At 43.6% G+C, this 27,995-nt stretch overlaps 1 protein-coding gene and 1 long non-coding RNA gene across 14 annotated transcripts in view, besides 3 other annotated features; one reads left to right on the top strand and one right to left on the bottom strand.

The window, feature by feature from the left end:
- The window catches only part of TTC12-DT (TTC12 divergent transcript), a 36,020-nt gene extending 9,298 nt beyond the window's left edge, over positions 1-26,722 (bottom strand). For all 5 annotated transcript variants that reach the window (NR_186360.1, NR_186361.1, NR_199709.1 and 2 more), the window contains exon 1: positions 26,596-26,722. This is a non-coding gene — a long non-coding RNA (TTC12 divergent transcript). The remainder of the gene's footprint in view (positions 1-26,595) is intronic.
- Positions 26,660-26,909: a silencer, noted in NCBI's record as "silent region_3908". NCBI's record gives its function as "represses an Ori minimal core promoter by ATAC-STARR-seq in GM12878 lymphoblastoid cells {active_cell/tissue: GM12878}" and the evidence as "EXISTENCE:reporter gene assay evidence [ECO:0000049][PMID:35858748]".
- TTC12 (tetratricopeptide repeat domain 12) overlaps positions 26,849-27,995 on the top strand; it is a 58,715-nt gene continuing 57,568 nt past the window's right edge. For 6 of the 9 annotated variants that reach the window (NR_147891.2, NR_165393.1, NM_001318533.2 and 3 more), the window contains exon 1: positions 26,849-26,884. The gene's annotated coding sequence lies outside the window, so the exon portion shown is untranslated. Of the gene's footprint in view, positions 27,965-27,995 lie in introns of all 9 variants that reach the window. The other 3 variants (NR_165392.1, NM_001378064.1, NM_001378065.1) reach the window with 3 other exon arrangements.
- Positions 26,933-27,227: a silencer, noted in NCBI's record as "tiled region #9915; HepG2 Repressive DNase matched - State 1:Tss, and K562 Repressive non-DNase unmatched - State 1:Tss". NCBI's record gives its function as "represses a minimal TATA promoter and a strong SV40 promoter by Sharpr-MPRA in HepG2 and K562 cells {active_cell/tissue: HepG2 | K562}" and the evidence as "EXISTENCE:reporter gene assay evidence [ECO:0000049][PMID:27701403]".
- Positions 27,120-27,219: a silencer, noted in NCBI's record as "silent region_3909". NCBI's record gives its function as "represses an Ori minimal core promoter by ATAC-STARR-seq in GM12878 lymphoblastoid cells {active_cell/tissue: GM12878}" and the evidence as "EXISTENCE:reporter gene assay evidence [ECO:0000049][PMID:35858748]".

Genomic DNA, 27,995 nt, shown 5'->3' on the forward strand with positions numbered 1-27,995 from the left:
AGAGACAGGATTAGAACCCAGTCATGAAGTCTCCATAGGGAGCAATGTATAAGCCAGCATTGGTGTGGTGTAGCCCTGCTGTGGTGCTCTGCCCTGCTGTGGTGTAGCCTCCAGGTCCCATGCTATACCCAAGGAGAAGTGATGGCCAGGGGGCCCGTCCAGGGCAGAAGCACTGGAGGCTGAAGGAACTCATAGCCATGTCTGATGAGGAGCATGTAGAGGAGTTGAGTATGTTGAGCTTGGGGAAGAAACCGTGAAAGCAGATGGGAGGGTGGGAGGAAAAACATACACTTTGAACAGCTGTCTTCATGTATACAAAGACTGTTGTTTAGAAAAGAGGGTGGACTTAATATTTAATACTCCTGAGGGCTCAAGTAGAACAAACATTGTAGGGAAGTCTGTTTTATACACACGAAAAACAGACCATTCTGTTTCTTGGAGTGGCTCTAAAAGTGGACAGTCAGTGCCCTTAAGCAGAGGCCAGGCAGCCGCTCTTCAGGCCTGGGGAGAGGAGACTGAGGCATCAATGCACAGACGACCCTGTTCAGATTCTAGATGGCTTTGATAGCAACAGCCCTGATCTCCCACCGAGACCTGGACCACTGAAGGCAGAGGAAGCAAACAGCCAACACAATCACAGCCATTGTTCCAGGTCACCTTCCAAGTACGGGCAGTGAGCTGAGCTGGCAAAGGTCAGAATGCACAGAAGTGCTGGAGCGTGCAGGACATGGTGTACCAAGGAGCAGGGGGGCCTCAAGAGGGAGGGGAGACTTTCAAGTGGCAAAGCCTACCTGCCCTTTACCCCCATCTTGCCCCCAGGGAAGACCCAAGTCCAAACACACTCCAAGATAAGAGATTGTGGCATTTTTAGTTACTCATTAGTTCAGTATTTACTGAGGTGAAATGTTTACTGAGCACCTACTATGTCGGCACATATGCGCTGAGTAATGGAGGTGCAGTGATGAATACGATAGACAACATCCCTGTCCTGATGGAACTCAAGGTCCAGCACATTGGAAAGATCATAGGCTCCAAAAAGCAACATATCTTGCTTTGGAATCTAAGCTCTGGTGCTTCCAAGTTGTGTGACCATAGGCAAAGTACTTAAAGTCTCTGAGTATACTTGCTTCATCTCTAAAATGAGACCTCACAGAAGTGTTTGAATTTTAAAGAGGCCCTATCCTTGGCATGTGAAACATCAGCATTAGTATTCATATTAGCCAGGGTTCTTAGCTGCAAGCACCCCAAGCAATTCTGGCTGATTAAACAAAACAAGGAGTACATTGAAAGGATATTGAGTGATTCACACCATTGTGGGAGGCCGGGAGAACAAGCGTTAAGACCAAGCTTTCAAAAGTCATGTCCGTTACAATGCTGAGCAATCAGTCTTATTGGAACACCACTGCCATCCATGTCCCCCTTCAATATCACCTCTGGATTGAGAGCTTGACCTTTCAACTGCTACAACCAACTTCCCCTCCCCACCCCTACCCCACTAGAGAAAGCCAGATGCCTCCGCAACCATCTTTGCCAGCAAAATGGGTACAGGAAAGAACCTCTCTCCTCCTTCAGTCTCACCTCTGGACTGAAGACTCACATCAGTGAGTCTGTTGCGTTGCCTGGGTCTCACCGATGCCGGTGATGTAAAGAAGCCTGGGGAATGGAGGTCTCAGCATCAACTATGGGGAGGTGGGACTCCGAAAGCCAGAACATCCTCCAGTACAGCAACGATACTGGACAAGCGCTACGCAACATGACAAATGTTCACTGGAGTCCCTGGCCCCACCTGCTCACCAGTCCTGCAAACGCTTGGTGGAGATGCCCAGACTGGCCAAAAGCCTCTCTTCCCCCTCCTTGTGACCCTGGCACAGCACTGAAATCCTTTATATGCATCTACCCACGTGTGAGTGCCCCCATACCTAGCGTAAGGGACAGAGCTGTGGTATGCAGAGGGGTAGAGTCCCTGAGGCTCTCAGGGGAAACCCAGATGAGCAGCTGGGCCTGGCTGGGAAGGGCACAGTGGGCTAAGACTGCCACCAAGTGGCCGTGCCAAGAACCACAGGAAACCAGGCTTTTCCCCCAACCTGGCCACCCAAATGGAAAGCTGCTGCCTGCCCCTTGGGCCTGAAAATGGAGGCTTCTCCTCCCCTCTGCTCCTGAATTGAGCTGTCCACATCTGCTGAACTCCAAAGGAGATAATGAAATCTAGCATTGATTTGCTATCCTACAGCTTATAAAATGATTCATACAGTAAGAATAATTACATGATAATATTAAGTATTGTTGCAGCAACTTGCATTAATTGAGGGCTTGCTACATGCCAGAAACTTTAAAATATCATCTCTTAATCCTTACAACAAATCTGTAGCAAACAAATGCATTTATCCAGCGGACATCCATTTTCCTTCCTTCTCTTAACAGTACTTCGATTTTTCTCTGGGAATGTTCCTTCCACTCCTAGGACTTTGTGGAAATGACTAGCAAGAAAGAAGCTCTGTTGGAACTCATAGGAAGAGAAGTCTTGAGCTTCCAGGTGCCACCCCAAGGGAAAGCCTGCCTGAGATTGAAACCAACACACAGGAAGCAGAACAGATCTCAGAGGCATTGGAGTCCCATGGACCAGACGTGCCTGAAAAATGCCTGGGTTTTTCAATTCCCTGAACCAATATATTCCCTTTACTGAAGTCAATTTGTGTGGGATTTTTTTTTAACTTAAAATAAAAAAGTACTAATAATTGCTATGTAATTTAAAAAATTAGCATGTGGAAGTAAGCTGTTGTAAGTAGCAGATCCAAAAATAGAGAATCATATGTCAAGGTGAGTGGGGGGGGGGGCATTTATTCATTACCATGTGCCACTCCCTGTTTGCTATAAACTGAATGTTGTTATTTACAGTTCATTTGTCGAACTCCTAACCCCCAATCCTAACCCCTAAGGGATTTTGGGAGGTGACTAGATCATGAGGGTGGATCCCTTGTTTAATGCCCTGATGAAAGAGACCCCAGAGAGCTCCCTCACCCATTCCACCATGTGAGGACACAGTGAGAAGAAGGTCTATGACCCAGGAAGTGGGACCTCACCAGACACCATTTACTAGTGCCTTGATCTTGGACTTCCAGCCTTCCCAACTGTAAGAAATACATTTCCGTTGTTAATAAGCCACCCAGTCTGTGGATTTTAGCCTGAATGGACTAAGGCACTGCTCTAGTGCTAGAGATTCAGTAGGCACCAAAATGGATGTGATCCATGCTCCCGAGTTAACTTCCTGGCGGAGAATGCCACCGTAAACCACTGAGAATGCAGCAGCTCTGCAGAGGCCTGAGCAGAATGATGGGATAGAGTGAGGTCACATGGCTTCTTGAGGTTGCATGGGCAGGGGCCGATGCAATGGGAATGCGCTCATCGACATGTTTGCTAGCAGTCACATTTCCTAGACCCCCTTGTTTGTATGGTTCCAGTTAGAATTAGACAAAGGAAGAACTCATGTGTGATTTGAAGGCAGAAGGACGTGGTGTCCATCATGCTCTTAAGGACTTATAGTCTCCTGCAGTGACAGAGAAATGTGGAGGTGCTCATGAGTCCTGCACACCTTTGCTCTCCTCCACGCAAGTTCAGCTGACCGTCAGCATCCTTCTGACCAAGCTCAACCTCAGGTCTACTGCCAGACATGTGGCCACGGGACACAGAGAGATCATAGCCTCCTATGGACCTGTTTATGAAATTCCCCTTCACACGCACATGGGGTGGCTCATGTGAGGGAGGAAGCAGCAGCCATGGAAAGAGAACAAGTTCAAGATCTGTGTTGGAAGTAGGCTTGGCAGGACTTGCTGGTAGGTTGGATGGAAGATGTGGCTTAAAAGGGGGTCAGGATGTCTCCTAGGCTTTGTCTTAAGCAAGAAAGCAAATGTTTCAGGCCATTTATTGAGATAAGGAGCCTATCTAGGATTGGAAATAAGAGTTCTTCTTTGGCCATTGTGGTAGGTTGAAAAAAAGGACAATATTGTGGTAGATTAGGGAAAAACTGGTCACACACACACATACACAAATGTCTTCAGCAACTCCCAATCATAATCATAAACTTACATTAAAAATGCAAATGCAATGCAAAGATGTTTCTTTTTCTTGAACACTTGAAAGTAAATTTCTGGCCAGATGCTCCAGCACCTGTGAATATTGTACTATTTCTTATAAGCAAGGACCTTCTCTCCCCTACATAATCAAGATCAAAATCAATGTCAAGAAATTAGCATGGGGCCAGGTGCAGTGGCTCACCTCTGTAATCCCAGCACTTTGGGAGGCCGAGGCAGTCAGATCACGAGGTCAGGAGATCGAGACCATCCTGGCTAACATGGTGAAACCCCGTCTCTACTAAAAATACAAAAAAAATTAGCCAGGCATGGTGGCAGGCGCCTGTAGTCCCAGCTACTCGGGAGGCTGAGGCAGGAGAATGGCGTGAACCCGGGAGGCGGAGCTTGCAGTGAGGCAAGATCGCACCACCACTGCACTCCAGCCTGGGCCACAGACAGACTCCGTCTCAAAAAAAATTAACATGGATACAATACTATTTTTTAACCTGCAGTCCTTATTCAAATTTCTCCAGTTGTTCCTCTGATGATCCTTAAACAAAAGAAAAATAATCTTTGTGTGTTCAACATTCACTCCAGGAACACACCATTTTTTTTAGTTTCATGCCTCTCTAGTCTCCATCAATCTGGAAGATGAGTTCTGTTTTGTTTGTCACGATCTTGACATTTTCGAAGAGTTCAGGCCATTGGTTTTGTAGAATGACCCTCAATTTTAGCTTGTCCAACATTTTCTCACAACGAAATTCAGGTGCTGCTCTTTCACAGGAATGCCATGGAGCTGGTCCTCTCACTCTGGCTTCATCTTACCAAGTGGCACGTGATCTCCATCCTCCTGTGTCTGACGATGCCCACTTGGATCACTTGATTAAGGTGGTGTCTGCCAGGCTTTTTTGCTGTGAAGTCACTCTTTTCCCCTCTTTGTAGTTAAAAAGCATTTGTTCATTGTGGTAGTATTAACATTAATTGAGGGCATGCTATGTGTAGAGGGACTTTAAAACTTTGTAAATATCCCGTGCCCCATCAAACTTTCAATTGATTGTTTATCTATCAGATAAACACTATCAGAAAACCACTAGACTAGACTAGTGATTGTCTAGTTTTCAGTGAATTCTGTTAGCTTCATTATTTATTTTGATGTGCAGATTGTCCCTGATCCGGTCACTCAGTGGGAGCCCATTCCATCTGGTTTCTGGTTTTTACATGACCTAATCATTCTTTGAGCACTTCATTACTTCCTGACACAACAGGATGTTACATTCTCATCTCGTCCTTTCTCTTCTTCAGTCCTGGAAGCAGCCATTTCTTCAGGAAACCTAAGTTTCAAGAGATGCTGGTGTAGTGTACTCATTGCTCCCAGGACTTCTCAGTGGACACATTGGTTTTCTCTGGAGAGCCTTGATACAAATGGGACATGGCAGAACTAGAACCTGAATCAAGACTTATTTTACTCTATGCTCAGAGCTCTTTATTTTTCTCAGTGAAAACTGGCTTAAGAGGAAGAGACACATATGTGTATGGATACATACATGTACCCTATTGTCACAGGATACTAGAAATATGTGGATAACCTCACATCTTTATCCTCTTCCTAAATGGTTCTTCCAAAGTCTGGATGGACAACTGTTTCCCCAGCACAATGAATTCAACCCACCAAAGCTTCTCATTATCCCTTTCTTCATCCCTCCTCCTCCAACTCCTCCCCTCCCCCGCCTTCCTCTGTTGCCTATCACAGAGAAGGGCAGAGCCATCCATTCGCTTCTGTAAGCTGAATAGCTGGCATTGTCATCAGAATCCTTCCTTTCTCTCTCCCCATTTCCAATTTGTCAATGTTTTCTATTGATTTTCTCTACTGAACATCTCTTGTATTCATCTCCTCCTCTCCAACCCGGCAACTGCTGACTTGGTCTCTCAACGCCTCCCATCTGTGCTTTGCAATTGTATGCACTTCCTTGCCCATAGGCAAAGTCCTGGTGGCTGAGCACCAGCCACAACACTAAGAAGTCAGCAAGTGAGAGGTGAGTAAAGGACATACATGTATAGTCTGTGGAGCTGTCTCAACAAGGAATGGCACAATCCAAGGCTACATCGATGCTCTAAGGCAGGGAGGCAGAGAAAAAGGATGGGGGTGTTCAGGCAGTGAGGACCAGTCCAGGGAGACGTAATAGAGGAAGGACTCAAAGCAGAAGGCAAGGCACAGAGCCTGGGGTCATTCCTCTGTCCGTAGCCGGAGAGCCTCCACCTTGTCCGGTTTCTTATCTTTCTGTAGTGCAAATCTGTGACTCACTTGCTTAGAACACATCAGTTGTTTACCTTCACCTGCAGGACAAAATCTCAATCCTTGGAATATCCCCCCTGTCTCCCTCTGTGCCTCACTGAGTGCAACTTCCCCTTGTATTACTCACTCCTATAAGATGGAATTACTGATAGTTTCCTGATGACACTGTGTTCTCTCACCTGTGTGCCTGCACACCTGCTCGTCACTGTGCCCACAGTGCCTTGCTCACCTGGCAAAGTCCTACTTCTCTTCCTTCTCCTATGCTTGTGTCACACACTGCACAATTCTCCACTGAAGCATTCATGCCATCGCATCATAACTGTCTGCAGGTCTTGCAGATTTGCAGGAAAGACCATAAGCTCCTTGAGGCCACTGTCTTCACATTGTCTTGTCATTGTCTTCATGCCCCTGCTCCATCCCCATGCCACTAAGTTGTTGCTCAGTACATTTGTTGAATGGATAAACAAATGAATTCATGAACTAGAAGTTGGGAGGAGAGAGTGGTTTAGGACAAGAAGTTGTAGGGGATTTTCTTTAAACTTTTAATGTGGAAAAATATTAGATTTACAGAAGAGTTGCAAAGATAGTATGAGGAGTTCCTGCATACACTTAACCCAGGTTCTTCTAATGTTACTCCCCTTTGGTTATATCTGATATAGCCAGAGAAGTCTTACCAACTAAAGAATTAGCATTAGTAGAGTGATACTACCTAAACTAAAAATTTTATTTAGATTTCACCAGTTCTCTGCCAATGTCCTTTTTCTGTGCCAGGATCTCATCCAGGGAACCACGTTGTACCTAGTTCTCAGGAGCCTAGGTTTCTGCTTAGTCTTCTCCTTAATATTCTCCAGACTGCAGTACTTTCCTTGTCTGTCATGACCTTGACACTTTTGAAGAGTACTGGTCAGGTATTTCACAGAATGTCCCTCCATTTGGGTTTGTAATGATTTCCCTCACGATTAGAATAGGGTTATAGATTCTGGGGGAAGAATGTCAGAGGTGAGGTCCTTTTCTCATTGCATGACTTCAGGGATTATGACATCAACGTAAAAGGTTACTACTTTCCCCTTCCATACTCTGTTCTTTAGAAGTGAATCACTAAATCCAATGAACACTCAAGGGGAAAGGAACTGAGCTCCACCCCTTAGAAATGGGAGTACCTACAATTATTACCTGGAATTCTTCTGTTGGGGATATTTATTTTTGCTATAATCCAGGTAGTCAAGTGAAGCCTATGGACCTAGTCTCAGAATATTTTAAATTTTAATGTATTGATTTTTTGAAATGAAATACATGGGATTATAAAGGAAAACAGTTGCATTGATATACGATTATTAAACTATTTTTTAAAAAAATTTGTGGCATAGGAATTAAGAAGAAATTACTAAGGCAGATAGTGAAGGTACAGGAGTTCTCAGTAAGATTTTCCTTTTTAATGAAAAGCAGCCCCCAAATCATTTTCTAACAAAGAGCAGCCTGTAAAATCCAGATGCAGACATAGACAAACAAGCTAGAGGCTTGCACCAGTGAATGCCAGCAGGAAAAAGCTACCTGAGACTAGACATGTTCAAAATGGCGGCTCCATCTTCCCTTCTCTTTAACAGCCAAGTGTACAGTAAGGGCTTTCTGGTCAAGTGAAAAGCCCATTTGCATAATAAGATTAGAGTGGGGTGGCCAGCCTTCCCCACATACTATGTAAACGTCACACCTGATCGAACCAATCTGTGGGCTCTACATAAATCAGACACCACTTCCTCAAGTCTGCCTATAAAATCCAGAAAACTCCACCGCCAGCTCGTCCTTCCTTTTGGAAGCCCCTCTCTCTCACTAGAGAGAGAGAGAGCTGTTCTCCTTTCTCTTCCTTTTGCCTATGAAACCTCTGCTCCTAAACTCCTTGTGTGTGCCTGTGTCCTAACTTTTCTTGGCATGAGATGACGAACCCCGAGTATTTACCCCAGACAATGACACCGCATCAGTAATACATGTGCTTATTTATCAGTTCTTCAAAACACAAGGTCTGGTAGCATGTGTAAGATGCTTCAGTTGGAAGCTTCGACTGTGATTTCAAAGTGTTGCTCAGCATAAGTGACATCACAGCTGATGCTAATACCACAGTGGGTTGTTGCCTATATTAACAGTGAAACTAGAAAGTGAAGCAAAAATATTCACAGATCTTTTGAAAGAAGCGGCATTGCCACTGCAAATTCTGTGAGACAGGCAAAAAACGGTGAGTTCCCAAAGTGTGAGAGGGGGAAAACTGGCCTCCGAACACACATCCTCACTGGGGAACCTGAAAATCCAGATTACAGAAGGATTTAACCTTACCTAGAGCTGAAATGGACTTAGTGCGAAATATAAAAGTAGAAGCAGCAACAGGAAGAGGCTTGCAGGCACTCTTCCTCTCCAGCTCAATCCCAGGGAGGCCATCCCTGACTATATCTCATAGGAGCCCTTGGGGAAGGCAGCCAGCAGAATTTGGGAGGGGTCACAGGGTGAAAGAAGTTTCCAACTGAACTTTGTAATAATTTCAACTGTGCACAAACTCTCTTGAGCAGAATCCAGGGGTGAATGACAGTGTGGGCAGATGGGGAGGGGTGTGGCTTCAAAGTCTTGCTGGTTTTCTCAGCAGGGAAGCTTATAGCCTGGGGCAAGATCTGGGTTCTGCCTGCAGGCTGCCTGAAGATAAACTCAGTGCTACTAGTGGAGTACAGCAGGAGAGAGACCGGCCTCACCAGGCAACTGCCTGGGAGCTGGGTGAGCCCTATCCCTACTGGCTTTCCCCCACTTCCCTAGTGACAGAGGCAGCCATAATCCCTTCTGGAACATAACCCCATTGACCTAAGAACCACTCCACCACCATTTCTCACAGTAGCCTGGGCAAGCCCTGCACAAGGAGAGTCTGAGCTCAGATAGGCCTAACCCTGCCCCCACCTGTTGGTATTTCTCTACCACCCCGGTAGCCAATCACAAAAGACATAAACTCTTGGAAGCTTTATGGCCCTGCCCATCACCTGAGAAACCCAAATACTTACCCTGGCTAAGGTAGGGCAAGCTTATATCCCCCTTCTACTATCTCAGCTGGTGCTCTCTTAAAAGCACCACCTCCTGGCTGGAGGTCAACCAACTCAGGACATCACAGCAACTCATGACAGAATAACCCAGCTCCAAGGAAAGAGAAAACAACAGCTAATTCCACTGCCTGCAACATGCTGACTAACCAGTGGTCCTGAGTTTGTCCCTGTGGCAACTTCACTGCTAGCGTCAGCAGCATTTGAGAAAGCCAACACACTAAACACATCTACAACCACGGACTCTCACAGAGTCTATTTCACTCCCCTACCACCTCCACCAGAGCAGGTCCTGGTATCCCCAGCTGGGAGACCTGAAGATGGATCACATTGCAGGGCTCTTTGCAGACATTCCCCAGCACCAGCCCAGAGCCTGGTAGCCCTGCTGGGTGGCTGGACCAAGAAGAGTAATAACAATTGCTGCAGTCCATCTCCCAGGAAGCCCCACCCCTAGCGAAAGGGGGAGCACGCCACATCAAGGCATCACCCCATGGGACAAAACAATCTGAACAACAGCCCTTGAGTTCCAGATTTTTCCACTGAAATAGTCTATCCGAATGAGAAGGAATCAGAAAAGTCATTCTGGAAATATGACAAAACAAGGTTCTATAACACCCCAAAAAGACCACAATAGCTTTCCAGCAATGGATCCAAATCAAGAAGAATTCTCTGAATTGCCAGAAAAAGAATTCAGAAGGTTGATTGTTAAGCTACTCCAGGAGATGCCAGAGAAAGGTGAAAAACAACTTAAAGAAATTTTTTTTGTAATGCAGGATATGGATGAGAAATTCTCCAGAGAAATAGATATCATAAAGAAAACACAATCACAACTTCTGGAAATAAAAGACACACTTAGAGAAATACAAAAGGCACTGGAAAGTGTCAACAATAGACTAGAACAAGTAGAATAAAGAACTTCAGAGCTTGAAGACAAGGCTTTTGAATTAACTCAATCAGACAAAGACAAAGAAAAAATATTTAGTCAGGGCATGGTGGCTCATGCCTGTAATCCCAGCACTTTGGGAGGCCAAGACGGGTGGATCATCTGAGGTCAGGAGTTCAAGACCAGCCTGGACAACATGGTGAAACCCCATCTACACTAAAAATACAAAAATTACCTGGGCATGATGGTGCAAGCCTGTAATCCCAGCTATTTAGGAGGCTGAGGCAGGAGAATTGCTTGAACTCCGGAGGTGGAGATTGCAGTGAGCTAAGATCACACCACTGACCTCCAGCCTGGGTGACAGAGCAAGACTCTGTCTCAAAAAAAAAAAAAAAAATTAAAAAATGAACAAAGCCTCCAAGAAATTTGGGATTATGTTAAATGGCCAAACCTAAGAATAATTGGTGTTCCTAAGGAAGAAGAGAAATCTAAAAGTTTGGAAAACTTATTTGAGGGAATAATCGAGGAAAACTTCCCCGGTCTTGCTAGAGATCTAGACATCCAAACATAAGAAGCTCAAAGAACACCTGGGAAATTCATTGCAAAAAGATAATCACCTAAGCACTTAGTCACCAGGTTATCTAAAGTCAAGACTAAGGAAAGAATCTCAAGAGCTGTGAGTCAAAAACATTAGGTAACCTATAAAGGATAACCTATCAGATTAACAGCAGACTTCTCAGCAGAAACCCTACAAGCCAGAAGAGATTCGGGTCCTATCTTTAGCCACCTGAAACAAAATAATTGCCAGCCAAGAATTTTGTTTCCAGCAAAACTAAGTTTCATAAATGAAGGAGAGATAAAGTCTTTTTCAGAGAAACAATGCTAAGAGAATTAGCCACTACCAGGTGAGAGCTACAAGAAATGCTAAAAGGAGTTCTAAATCTTGAAACAAAACTTCAAATTATGCCAAAATAGGACTTCCTTTAAGCATAAATCTCACAGGATCTAAAAAACAATAATGCAACAGGGAAAAAAACGGTATTCAGGGAACAACTAACATGATGAATAAAACAGTACCTCACATCTCAATACTAACATTGAATGTGAGTGGTTTAAATGCTCCACTTAAAAGCTAAGGAATGGCAGAATGCATAAAAACCTACCAACCACATATCTGCTGTCTTCAAAAGACTCACCTAATGCTGGACTCCCATAAACTTTAGGTAAAGGGGTGGAAAAGATATTACATGCAAATGGAAACCAAACGCAAGCAGGAGTAGCTATTCTTGTATCATACCAAAGAGACTTCAAAGCAACAACAGTTAAAAAAAAAACAACAAAGAGGGATATTAAATAATGATTAAAGGATGAGTCCAACAAACAAAATATCACAGTCCTAAATATGCATGCACCTAACACTGGAGCTCCCAAATTTATAAGACAATTATTACTAGACCTAAGAAATGAGATAGATGACAACACAATACTAGAAAGGGACTTCAATACTCCACTGACAGCACTAGACAAGTCATTGAGACAGAAACTCAACAAAGAAACAAGGGACTTAAGCTATACCCTAGAACAAATGGACTTAACAGATATTTACAGAACATTCTACTCAACAACTGCAGAATATACATTATTTGCAACAGCATATGGAACATTCTCCAAGACAGACCATATGATAGGCCACAAAAAAAAGTCTCAATAAACTTAAGAAAATCAAAAATATATCAACTATCTCTCAGACCACAGAGGAATAAAACTAGACATTAACTCCAAAAGAAACCCTCAAAACTATACAAATACAGGGAAATTTAAAAATCTGCTCCTGAACGATCCTTGGGTCAACAATGAAATCAAGATAGAAATTAAAAAATGTTTTGAACTGAAAGATAATAGTAACACAATATATAAGAACTTCTGGAATACAGCAAAAGCAGTGCTAAGATGAAAGTTCATAGCATTAAATTCCTACATCCAAAAGTCTGAAAGAGCACAAATAGACAATCTAAGCTCATGCCTCAAGGAATTAGAGAAACAAGAACAAACCAAACCCAAACTTAGCAGAAGAAAAGAAATAACCAAGATCAAAGCAGGATTAAATGAAATTGAAACCAAAAATCCAAAAGATAAATGAAATAAAAAGCTGATTCTTCGAAAAGATAAACGAAATTGATAGACCATTAGTGAGATTAAGCAAGAAAATAAGAGAGAAAATCTAAATAAGCTCAATTAGAAATGAAATGGGAGATCTTAAAACCAATACCAGAGAAACACAAAGATCATTCAAGGCTACTATGAACACCTTTACACACAGAAACTAGAAAATCTAGAGGAGATGGATAAATTCCTGGAAATATACGACCCTCCTAGATTAAATCAGAAAGAAGTAGAAACTCTGAAGAGACCAATAACAAGTAGCAAGATTTAAACAGTAACTTAAAGATTGCCAACAAAAAAAGTCCAGGATCAGATGGATTCACAGCTGATTCTATAAGGCATTCAAAGAAGAATTGATACAAATCTTACTGAAACTATTCCAAAAGATAAAGAGGGAATCCTCCCTAAATCATTCTAGGAAGGCAGCATCACCCTAATACCAAAGCCAGGAAAGGACATAACAAAAAAAGAAAACTACAGATCAGTATCCCTGATAAACGTAGATGCAAAAATCCTCAACAAAATACTATTAATAGCTAACTGACTCAAACAACATATCAGAAAGATAATCCACCATGATCAAGTGGGGGGGATTTCATACCAGGGATGCAGGGATGGTTTAACATATACAAGTCAATAAATGTGATGCATCATAGAAATAGAATTAAAAACAAAAATCATATGATCATGTCAATAGATGCAGAAAAAGCACTGACAAAATCCAGCATCCCTTTATGATTAAAACTCTCAGCAAAATTGGCACAGAAGGGACTTACCTCAAGGTAATAAAAGCCATCTATGACAAACACACAGCCTATATACCAAACAGGAAAAAGTTGAACACATTCTGCCTGAGAACTGGAACAAAACAATGACACCCACTTTCACCACTTCTATTCAACATTGTACTGGAAGTCCTAGCCGAAGCAGTCAGACAAGAGAAAGAAATAAAGGGCAACCAAATCGATAAAGAGGAAGTCAAACTTGCTGTTCACCAATTATATGATCATATACCTAGAAAACCCTAAAGACTCATTCCAAAAGCTCCTAGATCTGATCAATGAATTCAGTAAAGTTTTAGAATACAAAATGAATGTATACAAATTAGTAGCACTGCTATACACCAACAATGACCAAGATGATAATCAAATCAAGAACTCAACCCCTTTTATAATAGCTGCAAAACAACAACAACAAAAAACTTAAAATAATTAGGAATATATTTAACCAAGGAGGTGAAAGATCTCTACAAAGAAAACTATAAAACACTGAAAGAAGTCATAGATGGCACAAATGGAATCACATCCTATGCCCGTGGGTGGATAGAATCCATATTGTGAAAATGACCATACTGCCAAAAGCAATCTGTAGATTCAATGCAATCTCCGTCGAAATACCATCAACATTCTTCACATAACTAGAAAAAACAATCCTACAATTCATATGAAATCCAAAAAGAGCACACATACCCAAAGCAAGACTAATTAACAAGAACAAATCTGGAGGCATCGTATTACCCGATTTCAACCTATAAGGTCATAGTCACCAAAACAGCATGGTACTGGTATAAAAATAGGCATGCAGACCAATGGAACAGAATATAGAACTCAGAAATAAAGCCAAATAGTTGTAGCCAACCGATCTTTGACAAAGCAAACAAAAACATGAAGTGGGAAAAGGACACCCTATGCAAGAAATGGTGCTTCGATAATTGGCTAGCCACATGTGAAAGAATGAAGCTGGATCCTCCTCTCTCCCCTTATACAAAAATCAACTCGGCCGGGCAGGGTGGCTCATGCCTGTAATCCCAGGACTTTGGGAGGCCGAGGTGAATGGATCACAAGGTCAGGAAATTGAGACCATCCTGGCCAACATGGTGAAAACCTGTCTCTACTAAAAATACAAAAATTAACTGGGTGTGGTGGCATGCACCTGTAGTCCCAGCTACTTGGGAGGCTGAGGCAGGAGACTCACTTGAACCAAGGAGGCGGAGGTTGCAGTGAGCCGAGATTGCGCCACTGCACTCCAACCTGGTGACAGAGCAAGACTCCATCTAAAAAAAAAAAAAAAAAAAAAAATCAACTCAAGATGGATCAAAGACTTAAATCTAAGATCTGAAACCATAAAAATTATAGAAGATATCACTGAAAAAACTATTCTACACATTGGCTTAGGCAAAGAGTTCATGAGCAAGAACCCAAAGCAAATGCAACAAAAACAAAGATAGATAGATGGGACTTAATAAACTAAAAAGCTTCTGCACAGCAAAATAAATAACCCACACAGTGGGAAAAAATATTCACAAACTATGCATCTGACAAAGAACTAAGATCCAGAACCTACAAGGAACTCAAATAAATCAGCAAAAAAACACAAATAATCTCATTGAAAAGTGGGCAAAGAACATGAATACACAATTCTCAAAAGAAGATATACAAATGGCCAACAAACATAAGAAAATATACTCAGCATCACTACCTTTATCAGGGAAGTGCAAAAAAAAAAAAAAAAAAAACCACAATGAGATACCACCTTACTCCTGCAAGAATGACCATAATTAAACAATAAAAAAAAAAATAGATGTTGGCATGGATGTGGTAAAAAGTGAACACATTTACACTGCTGGTGGGAATCTAAACTAGTACAACCATTATGGAAAAAAGTATGGAGATTCCTTTAAAAACTAAAAGCATAACTAACATTTGATCCAGTAACTCCACTACTGGGTATCTACCTAGAGGAAAAGAAGTAATTATATGAAAAAGATACTTGCAGATGCATGTTTACAGCACCATAATTCGCAATTGCAAAAATATGGAATCAGCCTAAATGCACATTAACCAATGAGTGAATAAAAGCTATATATATATATATATATATGCCATAGAATACTATTCAGCCACAAAAAAGGAATAAACTAATGGCATTTGCAGCAACCCGAATGGGGTTAGAGACCATTATTCTAAGTGAAGTAACTCAGGAATGGAAAACCAAATATTGTATGTTCTCACTTATAAGTGCCAGCTAAGCTATGAGGACGCAAAGGCATAAGAATGATATAATGGGCCAGACATGGCGGCTCACGCCTGTAGTCCCAGCACTTTGGAAGGCCGAGGAGGGAGAATCACTTGAGGTCAGGAGTTTGAGACCACCCTGGCCAATATGGTGAAACCCTGTTTCTACTAAAAAATAACAAAAATTAGCCAGGCATGGTGGCAGGTGCCTGAAGTTGCAGCTACTCAGGAGGCTGAGGCAGGAGAATTGCTTGAACTTGGGATGCAGAGGTTGCAGTGAGCCAAGATTGTGCCACTGCATCCAGACTGGGTGACAGAACGAGACTCCGTCTCAAAAAAAAAGAGAATGATATAATGGGCTTTGGTGACTTGTGAGGGAAGGTTGGGAGGGGCGTGAGGGATAAAAACTACACATTGGGTACAGTGTATGCTGCTCAGGTGACATATGCACCAAAATCTCAGAAATCACCACTAAAGAACTTTTCCATGCAACCAAACACTACCTGTTCTCCAAAAATTATTGAAATTTAAAAAAGGTTTTTTAATAAAATAAAAAGCTGGAAAAAAAAAACAATGAAACCAATGCTAAATTCCAGTGACAGATTGGTAACAATAAAAATACAATTTTGTTCCCAATCAAGTTCAGAGACACCCTGAATTCTATCCATGGACCCTTGGGAGGGGGTCCCTGGACCCTAAGTTAAGAACTCTTAGTTTAAAGGATACAAGATGGCAGAGACATTCTAGGGCTGTCCAAAAGGATATGCAATTTGAGGAAGGAAAAGCCAGGTGAGATAACATAGACTGTTCTTCACTGTGGTTCTGGAAGCTGGAAAGCACCAGTGTAAGTGATGAAAAGTGAAAGGGGTTCCAGGCTCTCCAATAATAAAATACACAAAAACAGTCCATTTATCACTGATTCATTTGTCAGATTATTTCTCATCTTTTAGATCAGAAAAAAATTAAGCGTGCTGATGAGGATACTGTGAAACTAGCACTCTCAAGCATTGCTGGTCATAGTTGGCAAATGGTACAAATTTGTACAAATCCATTGAGAATCTATTTGGGAATATTAACAACCATAAAAGTTTGAAATCTTGATTGAGAAACCCATTTATGAGAAGCTACCCAGAGAAAATAATCTGAGATACATAAGAAGTTTTACTTAGAGATGTTTGTTGCAGCAATATTTACATGAGCAAAACATATTAGAAACAACTAAAGCTCTAAAATGATAGCAAGTAGTCAAGTGAAGTAGAGAAATGAATAAATGGAATGCAATGTGAATATTAAATATCAGTAATGAAAACAATGCAATTACCTGGTATAGACTTTAACTAGAGACAAGACAAATATGTATCCTCTCTGAGCCTTGATTGCCTTGTCTACTAAAAGGAAGATAATAACACTATCTCCTAAGGTTGTAACTTGGTTTCATGGGATAATGTTTAAAGCTCCTATAAAGAGCCTGAGACATCAAGGGTGCTCAGAATGTGTCAGCTATTATGATTATGATGACATTATGCTATGCCAATAAAGTAAAACAAAATCGTATGTAATCCTGGTTACATCATTGCAAAAATATGTAGAAGAAAGACTGAAAGGAAATACATCAAAATGTTAATAGTACTGTTGGGGTAAGAGGTCATGAAAATTTTCTGTCTTTCTCTATATTCTAAGTTTTAATTATATACTTTAAATATGCTCTTAAACTGTTGATATAAAAGAAGCAAAGATGTGTTCTAGAAATACATATCTCAACCTTTTATAGCAATTGAGATGGGATCTATATCAGGACAGCAAGTAACTCTGGACTCCTTTAATTCTCTGTGTGCCTTCTTGTCCCCAAAACCTTGGAGGCAAAAAAAACCTCACTGCACAAAGCTGTGCATCACACAATTGTTTCCTTTCCTTTCCTTTCCTTTCCTATCCTTTCCTTTCCCTTCCTTCCCCTTCCTTCCCCTTCCCTTCCTTTCCCTTCCCTTCCTTTCCTTTCCCTCTTCTTCTCTTCTGTTTTCCTCCCTCCCTCCCTCCCTCCCTTCCTCCCTCCCTCCCTCCCTTCCTTCCTTCCTTCCTCCCTCCCTTCCTTCCTTCCTTCCTTCCGAGATGGGGTCTCAATCTGTCGTCCAGGCAGGAGTGCAGTAGCATGATCTTGGCTCACTGCAGCCTCAAACTCCTGGGCACAAGTGATCCTCTTGATTAGCTGAAACTACAGGCACATGTCACCATGCCTGACTAATTTTTTTTTTTCACTCTTTTCAGAGATGGAATCTTGCTTTGTTGCCCAGGCTGGTCTAGACCTCCTAGCTTCAAGTGATCCTCCTGCCTCAGCCTCCCAAAGTTCTGGGATTACAAGCATGACCCACTGTGCCTGGCTCTGTCTTTATAATTTCTGAGTGGTATGAATCACCCCTAAATGAATGACCAAGTACCCTAAATAAATGATGAATAAGTGTTAAACATTCTCTGGAGCCTAAATTGTTGACATCATTTAATTCACTATCCAGAGAAGTGATCACAGCAGCAGTAGCAGTCAGAGGCAGCTAGCCAGGTACGAGACACATAGTAGGTGCTCAGCAAACATTAAATAAATGCATGAATGGCTGACTGCTCGTGGGTCCCAGCCTTTCTCTGCCACAGTGGTTGTCCAGGTGCAGCCAGTCTGCCACACGGTGGCAGTGCTGTTCCACACTAGGCAGGCTTGGTGGCACCGGTTCCACCTGGCACTGAATGCCCAGTGCTTTTCTTTTTCAGGCAGAGAAGTCCTACGATCCCCAGAAAGGATCCAAAGATGACATTGATGGAGACACGCTGCCTTTCTTAATGGAGTGGGGGGCATGCCCCTCTGGCTATAGTTAAGATGTATCTTTCACCTTTGCAGGGGTGGGCCAGCCTGTGAAGTGGAGGGAGCAGTCTGTAAGGAGGCTTCTACGTTCACGAGGCGCAGCGAGGCCCAGCGAGGCCCAGAGGCTCCTGGAGTGGTCACTGATGGCAGGAGTTTAAAACAGGGCTCTCTCAAGAAAGTACATCTGAGGCAGTGTGGTGCGGTGGGGTAGCCTGAGCTCTGGTGGGACACAGACCAGGGCTCACATCTTGGCTCAGCCTCTGACAAATCACTTTACCTCTCTCACTGCATTTTCTTGTCTTTGAAATAGGAATAAGACCTTGTAAGGCTATCAAGAGCTTTAAATTAAATAATGCATGTAAAGGACTGAGCACAATGCCTGGAACATAGCAGCTCATTAAGGGCTAGTTACTATCATTACTGTTGTTGTTGTTAATAACCGTAGTGTCATTTCATTAAGTATAGAAATCTCAAGGAAGACTCTTGGCCCCTGTGGTCACACAGACTAAGTCTAACTGGATCCTGAAATTATTTCTACGTCTATGGTAGAATGCTGTTTTTTGTTTGTTTGTTTTTAGTTTTTTTCTTTCAAAAGGACATAGGTTTGGAAAAAAAATCAAATGTGACTTTTGAATTCTCTTTAGGGAGGAAAAAGACAGTGTTACATTCCTTCAGCTTCCTCCTTCTCTAAATTTTGAAGCCAAAGTTATCAAATCAATTGCAGCTCCAGCATCCATGGTGAGGGGTCTTTGTCTAATGGGCCATGTTTGTAGTTTGGTTCCTGGATTCAGGTTGACTTTGTCAACACCAATCACTCTTAGCAGGCAAAGGTGAGATCTCTTTATTCCTCATGTCCTCAGGAGAAAAAAAAATATCTCTCCTAAACTTTTATTTATTTTTGTTTTTTAGTGATGGAGTCTTGCTCTGTCGCCCACGCTGGAGTGCCGTGGCGCAATCTCGGCTCACTGCAACCTCCACCTCTTGGGTTCAAGCTCAGCCTCCTAAGTAGCTGGGACTACAGGTGTGCCTGGCTAATTGTTTTGTATTTTAGTAGAAACGGGGTTTCACCATGTTGCCCAGGCTGGTCTCGAACTCCTGGGCTCAGGCAATCCATCCGTGTCAGCCTCCCAAAGTGCTGGGATTACAGGAGTGAACCTCCGCACCTGGCTGCACCTAAGTTTTTAAAGTATGGTTGATGAGAAAAGACAAAGAGAGACAAAGACAACAAAGACAATTGTTTACACTAAAGAGAGAGCAGAGTAAAAGAGAGGGGAGACCACTTATACAATCTCCAAGTCTCAGATTTACTGTACAATCTCCAAGTCTCAGACTTACCGTGAACAAATGTTCTCCCATTTTTATTGAGAACATAAAACAAAAGTAAAACTGAAGTATCACACAAGGGATTTGGATCAGGTGGAAGTAGTCGTTGTGAAAATATGATTCATAAAGGTTCTCTAGGAGAAATATATTTGAAACGCAAGTCAGCAACAATTTAAAAGTCTGTTTCCCTCTGTGCATTTGAATATATATGAAAATACATAGACATTGACACTTAAAATGTAAATCATAACCATTGTTATTTACATATACTCATATGCGAGGTCCCTAGACTTTGCCATTGTAACAAGTGAAGAAGAAGTGTTCCGAGTGGCCGTATTAGACATGATGGGCTACATTATGCTGCGTTAACAAACAAGCCCCAAGGTTTTATGGATTATAACAAGAAAGGTCTGTTGCTCACTCATTCTACATATCCATCAAAGGTAGACAGATACCTGTCCTCCATGAACTCACTCAGGGACACCATCTGGTTGCTGGGTCGGGGGAAAGGACATGTATGGGGAGTCAAACTGGCGCTTAAAGGCTTCTGCCCATTTCACTTCTCCCAACACTGCATTGGCCAAAGCAAATCACCAGGCCATAGAGAAGTGAGATCCTACGATGCACCTGGAAGTGGGGAAATTGGAATCTTCCTGGACAGCCCAGTGGCTATCCGGGGTTTACCAGGACTTTTGACATGTTAAAGTGGTCAATCTGTCAAGTGCAAGATTTATCCTGAAAAGTATTTTGTGACTGTAACAGTGCTTATCCTCCAGGATGGACCACTCTGGGAAGGTTGAGGCAGAGAAACTATAAACACCCTTATTCCTTTTCCATCTAGAATAACATATTTGAACCTTCCTCTAAGCAGAGCAAGAGAAAAACTCACTTATTCAACAAATCTTTATTTAGCTCCAACTAAGCACCAGGGGCTGGGGATACAAAGATAAAATAAAGCAAAATCCCTACTCCCAGGAAAGGCATTGTCTAGTTACCCTGTTGGATTTAGAGAGTTGGGACTTGGAGTAAAGTTTGGGTTCGCAGAGATGTATGTGGGAGTCATCAAGATGGAAGTGACTTCTGAAGAAGCCACGAATGTCTGTGACTTCCAGCTCAACCAGGAGCAAACATGCTGCCCCCGTCTTTTGCATCCCTCCTGCCCAATAAACTCTTATCATTCCATCCCTGGGCTCTTGCCTTGTTGTGTCCCTGTTCCACACCCTTCCTATGGCTTCCATCCGGGATATAGCTGCCCCTACCCACATCTCTGGGCTCATCTTGCACCACTCTTGCCTTTCACAATGTTTCTTGCCTCTAAACTTTTGCCAGTCCTGTCCCCTCTGCCTGGAGCCGTCTACACACTCCCAGCCTGCACATTAACCAGGGAAATCCCTATTCTTGTGGGGACTTGCCTGACAGCATTTCCTTCTCCCTCCCTCTTCCTTAGGCACTAGACCTTCACTGCCCTTATCATACTGTTCTATTAATGTAATAATCTGTTTATGCATCTGTCTTACTCATTAGACTGTGGGATCCTTGAGGACAGAGGCTGTGCCCCTGGCTCATAGTATGATAATTGGTCACAGCAAACACTCCAACAACTTTTGTTGATATTTCTGTGGCAGTGAAGTATGATGAGATTATCAATAAAAGAGATGCAAGCATGAAAATATATCCCATAAGGTTGGGTGCAGTGGCTCACGTCTGTAATCCCAGCACCCTGGGAGGCTGAGGCAGATGGATCACCTGAGGTCAGAGGTCCAAGACCAGCCTGGCCAACCATGACCAATGTGGTGAAACCCCGTCTCTACTAAAAATGCAAAAATTAGCTGGGCACAGTGGCAGACACCTGTAATCCCAGCTAGTCAGGAGGCTAAGGCAGGAGAATTGCTTGAACCCAGGAGGTGGAGGTTGCAGTGAGCCAAGATCATGCCACTGCACTTCAGCCTGGGTGACAGAGCAAGACTCCATCTCAAAAAACAGAAAAAAAATTCCATAATAGGATAGTATTCCAAGTGTGTATGGGGAGATATAAAATGGAAAAATGACTTCAAGGAGAAAAAAGAATAACATAACCTTCTTAATTTCACGATCTCAGTATCAAATTGCTCCAATGTGTAAAGTTTATTGGATGAGATGCATTTAAAAATTAACATGTGTTTCATTTTAAAATATCAACATTTCTATTATGCTAGTATAACATTATTGTGCTTCATTTTAAAGTATTAACATTTCTATTGTGCTAGTATAATATTACTGTAGGGACTTATGATGAAAAATTAGATATAAACATTAAGAGAGTGTTAGTTGAATGAATGAATAAACGAAGAGTGCTTTCCTTATCAGTTAACATTAGGTTTGACTGGGAGTGACAGAAAACCCAAGATAGCAGAATCTTCAATAAAAGTCATTATATTTCCAGCAACTGAAGTATCTCCTGTTGGCGTTCAATATCTTGCTCATATAGAAATATGAAGTCGGGCAGTCCAAAGCCCTTGAGGCAGCTCCATGATCTCAGGACCCGACCTCCTTCTAGATCCTCAACACAATGCTTCTATATCATGGTCCAAAATGGCTGGCCCAGCTCCAGCCATTGGGTCCCCATTCCAATCAGCAAGGAAAAGGGCATCCTTTTGGGGACACTTCCCAGAAGTAGCACCACCACCTCTGCTTATATCTAATTGGTCAGAACTTGATCGTGTATTACACAAGGAAAGCTGGGAAACACAGTCTACTCTAGGTGTCTTGGGCCTTGCTAAAAATTGGTAGATCTGAAGAAGAGGAGAACAAATATTAAGGGACAATTATCAATTTACTCCACATCTATACTTGGATAACTCATGGGCATTTTGGACTGGATATCACAAATCTGACCTCATCTTTTCTCCAAACATTATTCTCTAATATTCTCTAGCTCAGCCAATGGAGAACCTTAATCTGGTCAAGCTGGAAACCTAATGTCATTATTGATACTTTCCTGCTGTCAATCCTCCCTCGAAAATACATCTCAAATTCATCTCTATTCCTACTGCCAGTACCCACAACAAACTCCTAACCAGTGTCCCTCTCACCTCTTTCCAGATCATTCTCTGCATTGCAGCCAGAATAACTTTCTAAGAAAAAATAAAAATCTGAGCATGTCACTTTTCTGCTAAAACCCCTGGAAGGCTGCCTATGATGCTTAGGATAAAGACCAAAAACCTTTACATGGCTTTCAAAGGCCTAATGTGATCTGGCCCTTGCTTCATCTTGCACTGCTTACCTTTTGTTCTCCATGCAGCAGACAAACTTGGTGTTCTGCTGGTTCCTCCTCCATACCAGGCTCCTTCCTGACTGCCCATGCCATTCGCTCTTTCTCCACCTCCCTCTTTAACTGTCCAATGCCCACTCACCCCCCAAGTCTCTTCTTAAACACCACATCATCAGGGAAGACTTCCAGTGTTTGAGACTAGACTTCCATGGCACCCTGTGCTACCTTTGCTTTTCACCCTTTACTTCTTATGGCACTTATCACAATGAGAATTTACATGATGATTTTGTTTATTGACCCTTATTCCCCTTGGGTGATAAGCTCCTTGAGTCTGGTGACTAGGTACCACTGGTGCTCTGCTGCATCCCAGCATTTAATGAAGTGTCTGCACTTTTCTACTCAGTGTGGCCACAGTCCATAAAGGGATGTCACTGCAGATCTCAGCCCCTATCCTGTTTAAACAAGATCACCAGGCAATTTCTACACACAATCAAGGTTTAGAGGACCTGGTCTAACACATACGAATCATAGTAGTAGTAATAGTTAATAATACTTACTAGGTATTGATAATGCTCCAGGCATTGTTCTAAGCACATGGCCTGTATTAACTCATGTACCTCTCACAGAAACCCTATGGGATAGAGAATCATTTAACAACCCAGTTTTACAGATGATGAAACTAAGGCCCACAGGGATTAAGTAACTTGCTTAAGGTCACACATCTAGCAGTAGCAGTAGCAGATGCATAGAACCAACAGACTGTATGCCTACTGTGTATAAGAGACTAGTTACATTGAGATACAAGGATGTGCAGCACAGAAAGAATCAGATCACAGGGCACCAAGTGAGGGGGAGGAGAGCTGCAGTGAGGAGGAGTCCCTCAAATCTATCTCCCAGTGGAGTGCTGGGCTGGGGTTTTTAAGGAGATCATGGAGGTGAGGGGCTAGATAACTGGGGTTGTCCATTGGTGGGATAAGGGGGATGAAAGTATCAGGATTTGGGAACTGCATTCTTTGGTGAGTCAACTTCTGGTCAGCTACAGTAGGAGACCTGGGGGGGCAGCAGGACAGGGTCATAGTGGGGCCCTCAGACCAGCTGGTGTCAATGGGTCCTTCAGAACAGCTGACATTAGTAATTTCACTGGTATGCAGGACCTGAAAGAATACTCCAAGTGGAAAACACAATGTTTTATGTTCAAGTTGTTAACTATAGAGCAGTTAAGGGGAACTATAATATTGTAACTGGGTCTACGTGATTCTGAGATAACAGACACTAAATAATTATGAAGAAGCAGGCCAGAGAACAAGCTGACCTCATGGTTCATGCTGAATGTGCTGCAAGCTGGGCTTATTTTATTTCTCCCCTTCCCTGCTTCCCTGATTAATTTTATAAAGTTTGTAAGGAAGGTTTCAGTAGTGTTAGTAATAAAAAAGGAGGAATATGATCCCCAGTACATAGCACAATAGAAGGTGCATAGTAGGTGCTTCAAGACATTTTAATGAATGCTAATAGGTGGAGATGTGAGATTTGAACCCAGCAAAATGGCTCCAGAGCCCCAGCTCTTAACCACTTAGCATGTGATGACTATTTGTCAAGTGCACCCCAGGGGCCTTCCGCTGCATCTAGCACACTACAGGCCACTCACACTAGCTGAACAAATGTGTGAGTGAATGGTTAGGTGGTACAGTCAGTTGTGGGCAGATACCTCTGGAACCTAGGAAAGGAGTTTAGTGAAAAGAGTAGTAGGATAGGAAGTAAGTGATTTGGAACTATTGGCCTCAATGTGATAAGAAACACCCTGAGGTTGGGGACCATAGGCATATAGCCTTCATGTATTCAAGGCCTCACAGGCCTAAGAGGAAAATGGGGTGATACTAATGGTGATAACCAAAACATCACTGGTTCTTGTCTCCATCAATTCCCACAGGCTGGAAGGTCACTGTGAAGTACCCTATATCTTTCTGAGGATCCCTATGGTGTGCCTAGCCTGTGCTCATCAACGTCCTTGCTCCTGCCAGGCACCTACACTGTCTGCTACTTCTCCTGAGGCACCTCATTCCCTTGGGACAGCCACTGTGACCATGTCCTGCTGGGATCCCCAGGTCTCCTGCTGCAGTTGATGAGCCAAAAGACTCACTCTGCTGATGCTGTACCCATTCAGCTGCCAAGAGGAGCAGAACATCCGTGGCCCCTTTGTGTTATACTGCATTAGAGGGGTACCCAAGCAGGATGGTATGTGTACCAATGCATCATAGAGACTTCAGCCAAACAGCTCTTCTGTTCTCTACAGGACACAGGCATGCATCCTATGGGGCCTAGGCCACAAGAGAGTCAACAGGCTGTACTTGGAATCAACACTAGAGCTAGCTGGCCATGCCTGGATCCCTCTCCCCTCTGGCGAATTCCATCTCTAGGGGCTCCTTGTTCCCTGCCAAACAGGTTTCCATAAAGCACTCATTTGCCAAGAAGTTCCGGGTGTTTCTGACCGTGAACTTAAGCTCAAGTTTCCCCTAAACCTGCTTTTTTTCCATTGGTAACCCTGCACATAATACTCTGAGATTTTGTTTAGAAAAACAGACTGAAATTTCTTTAGGGCTGTGTGCATGTATTTGGGGCATGAATGAATGTGCCTATTAGCTCATTCTGTTCTAAACCCTATGATTCCCCGGATGTCACGTGCCACCTGTTCCTACTGACTAGGTACCAGGCACTGAAACCACCATTGCAAAATTATAACTGAGATGGTGAAAGGGATCTGACCTAACCGACTCCATCTTGCTTCTCATCTCCAAGCTGTCTTTGTTCATTCCTAGGCATAGGCCAAACTAACTTTGGGGGGAACTTAGTTTATAGTGTAGCTTTGAAACAAAGACAATACCAGCCCTTTCCCAAACAAACCCCCTTCTTGCCCAGGAACTAGACTGCCTTTTCAGGACTAACAAATTAGCCACAAAATTAGAAATTATGGTTTAGGAGTCATGCAGCTAGAGGCTGCAAGATTCTAAACCTCAAATTGCTCCTGGGGATAACATCAACTATTGTAAAACCTAAGATCAGTGCTTAAGATATTTCACAGACACTGCACTCGATGGATCAGCTGGCACCACCCAGATGAATAAACTGGCTCATCTGGTCTTATGACCCCCACCTGGCAACTGACTCAGCACAAGAGGACAGCTTTGACTCCCTGTGAGTTCATCTCCTAGCCTACCAATCAGCACTCCCGACTCACTGACCCCTACCCACCAAATTATCCTTAAAAACTCTGATCCCTGAAAGCTAGGGAGACTGATTTGAGTAATAATAAAACTCCGGTCTCCCTCACAGCCAGCTTTGTGTGAATTACTCTTTCTCTATTGCAATTCCCCTGTCTTGATAAATCGACTCTGTTTAGGCAGTGAGCAAGGTGAACCTATTGGGCGGTTACAGCACTTTAACCATAAACCTTATGAGAAAGTGCCATTTCTCCATTTCACAGGTGAGAAAACTGAGGATTAAAAAGGTTACTCAAATAACTTTCCTAAGGATAAATGTGTGAGTCTTCTAACTCACACATTTATCAATGAACAAAACCGGATTCACAAGTACACTGGAGACTTTACATTTTGGGCAAGGATATTAAGCTAACGGGAGTGAGACAACCCTTCTTCAGTAGAAAAAAGGCGAGCAGCAGGCGCTGCTTTAGTTACCAGCACTTTGCTTCCTCCGTCTCCCCGCGCCAGGCATCGGGCATCCCAACCTCGACTTTGGCCTTCAACTTGGCGCGCTCCGGAGCTAGAGCTCTGCGGTAGCGAATCTGATCGCGTGTCCATGCCCGCCCCCTGTCCCGCCTCCTGGCTTTTGACCCCGTCCTTGGTCCCGCCCCGGGCCCTGGCTCCTGGCCCCGCCCTTGGTCCCGCCCCGGGCCCCTGGCTCCTGGCCCCGCCCCAGCCCAGGCAGGTCACTGCGCCATTTCCTGTCCAAAGCTGGGCGAATCAGGTCGGTGCCGCGGGGTACCCCGGAATCCCCCCTGGGAGCTGGTCCTGCACTGGCCTTCAGAGCCGAGCAGAGGACGCTGCTTTGGGCCCCAGAGCATGGGAAGGTCTTGGCTGCGGTCTGGGACGGCTGCGGTCTGGGACCTGCATGGAGGGCCCGGGACTTGCGGACGCCTGGGAGCGGTTGCTGGGCAACAGTGCGTGCGGCCTGGCCTCTTTGCGCCCGGCGGGCAGCGCGCGTCTGGGGCAGGCTCCGCGCGGGGCTCGGGCACAGGTCCCCGCTGCCGCAGCCCTACCGAGTGAAGCACTGAGCGCGGCGCCGCTTCGCCATCACCTGGCTCTGGCCCTCTCACCCTAGCGTAGGGGGGCACTGGCCAGGCAGTGAGGACCCTGAGATCCATGCCCTGGGAGACAGAGGTTGTCTCCTGTCCATGCACCCGCGCGCCTGCCTTCTAACCTTCATACCGTTGGGCAGATTAATTCACTGGACTAGGCCTCTGTTCCGTGGGAGTTGAAAAGATTTGACCTGGAAGAAACCCTAGCGATTATTCAGTTAAGCCGCAACCCCACCCCCTGTTTTATATAGGTAAGGGTGCTTCACGGTGAGGACTCGTCGCGTGCCTGGTGCTTTACATCAGTCCCCAGAATAGTCCTCGTAGTTTCTCTCTTACTGTTCCCATAGTATGGGTGAGGACTCTGAGGCTCGGAGAGGTTGTGAATTTAGCCAGAATCACACAGCTTGTAACTGGTGGAGATGAGGACACTGAGACTCGATTAAATCACTCGTAGTTTGTTCGTGGCAGATTACGTGTTAGAAGCGTGTTACACTACTATGAAACCTGGCCATAAATGAGAATCACCTGGAAAGTGTTTAAAATCTATATTCGTGTCTGGGCAATGTCCCGGGTTTACTGACTTGAAATCTCGGGCTACGGCTGAGGAAGCTGTATATTTAACAATCTTCCCGATGATTTTTATGATCTGTGGATGAACCACTGAGTACTGCTGGGTACACCACGGGGCCTTCTCGCACAAAAACAACTGTAAAATAATATCTGAGGTACCTAGAGCAGAAGAGACGCTGGTGAGCATGGTAACATTATGTTCTAATCCCT

Source organism: Homo sapiens, chromosome 11 (assembly GCF_000001405.40).
Source record: "Homo sapiens chromosome 11, GRCh38.p14 Primary Assembly".
In the NCBI taxonomy this organism is placed as follows: Eukaryota; Metazoa; Chordata; class Mammalia; order Primates; family Hominidae; genus Homo; species Homo sapiens.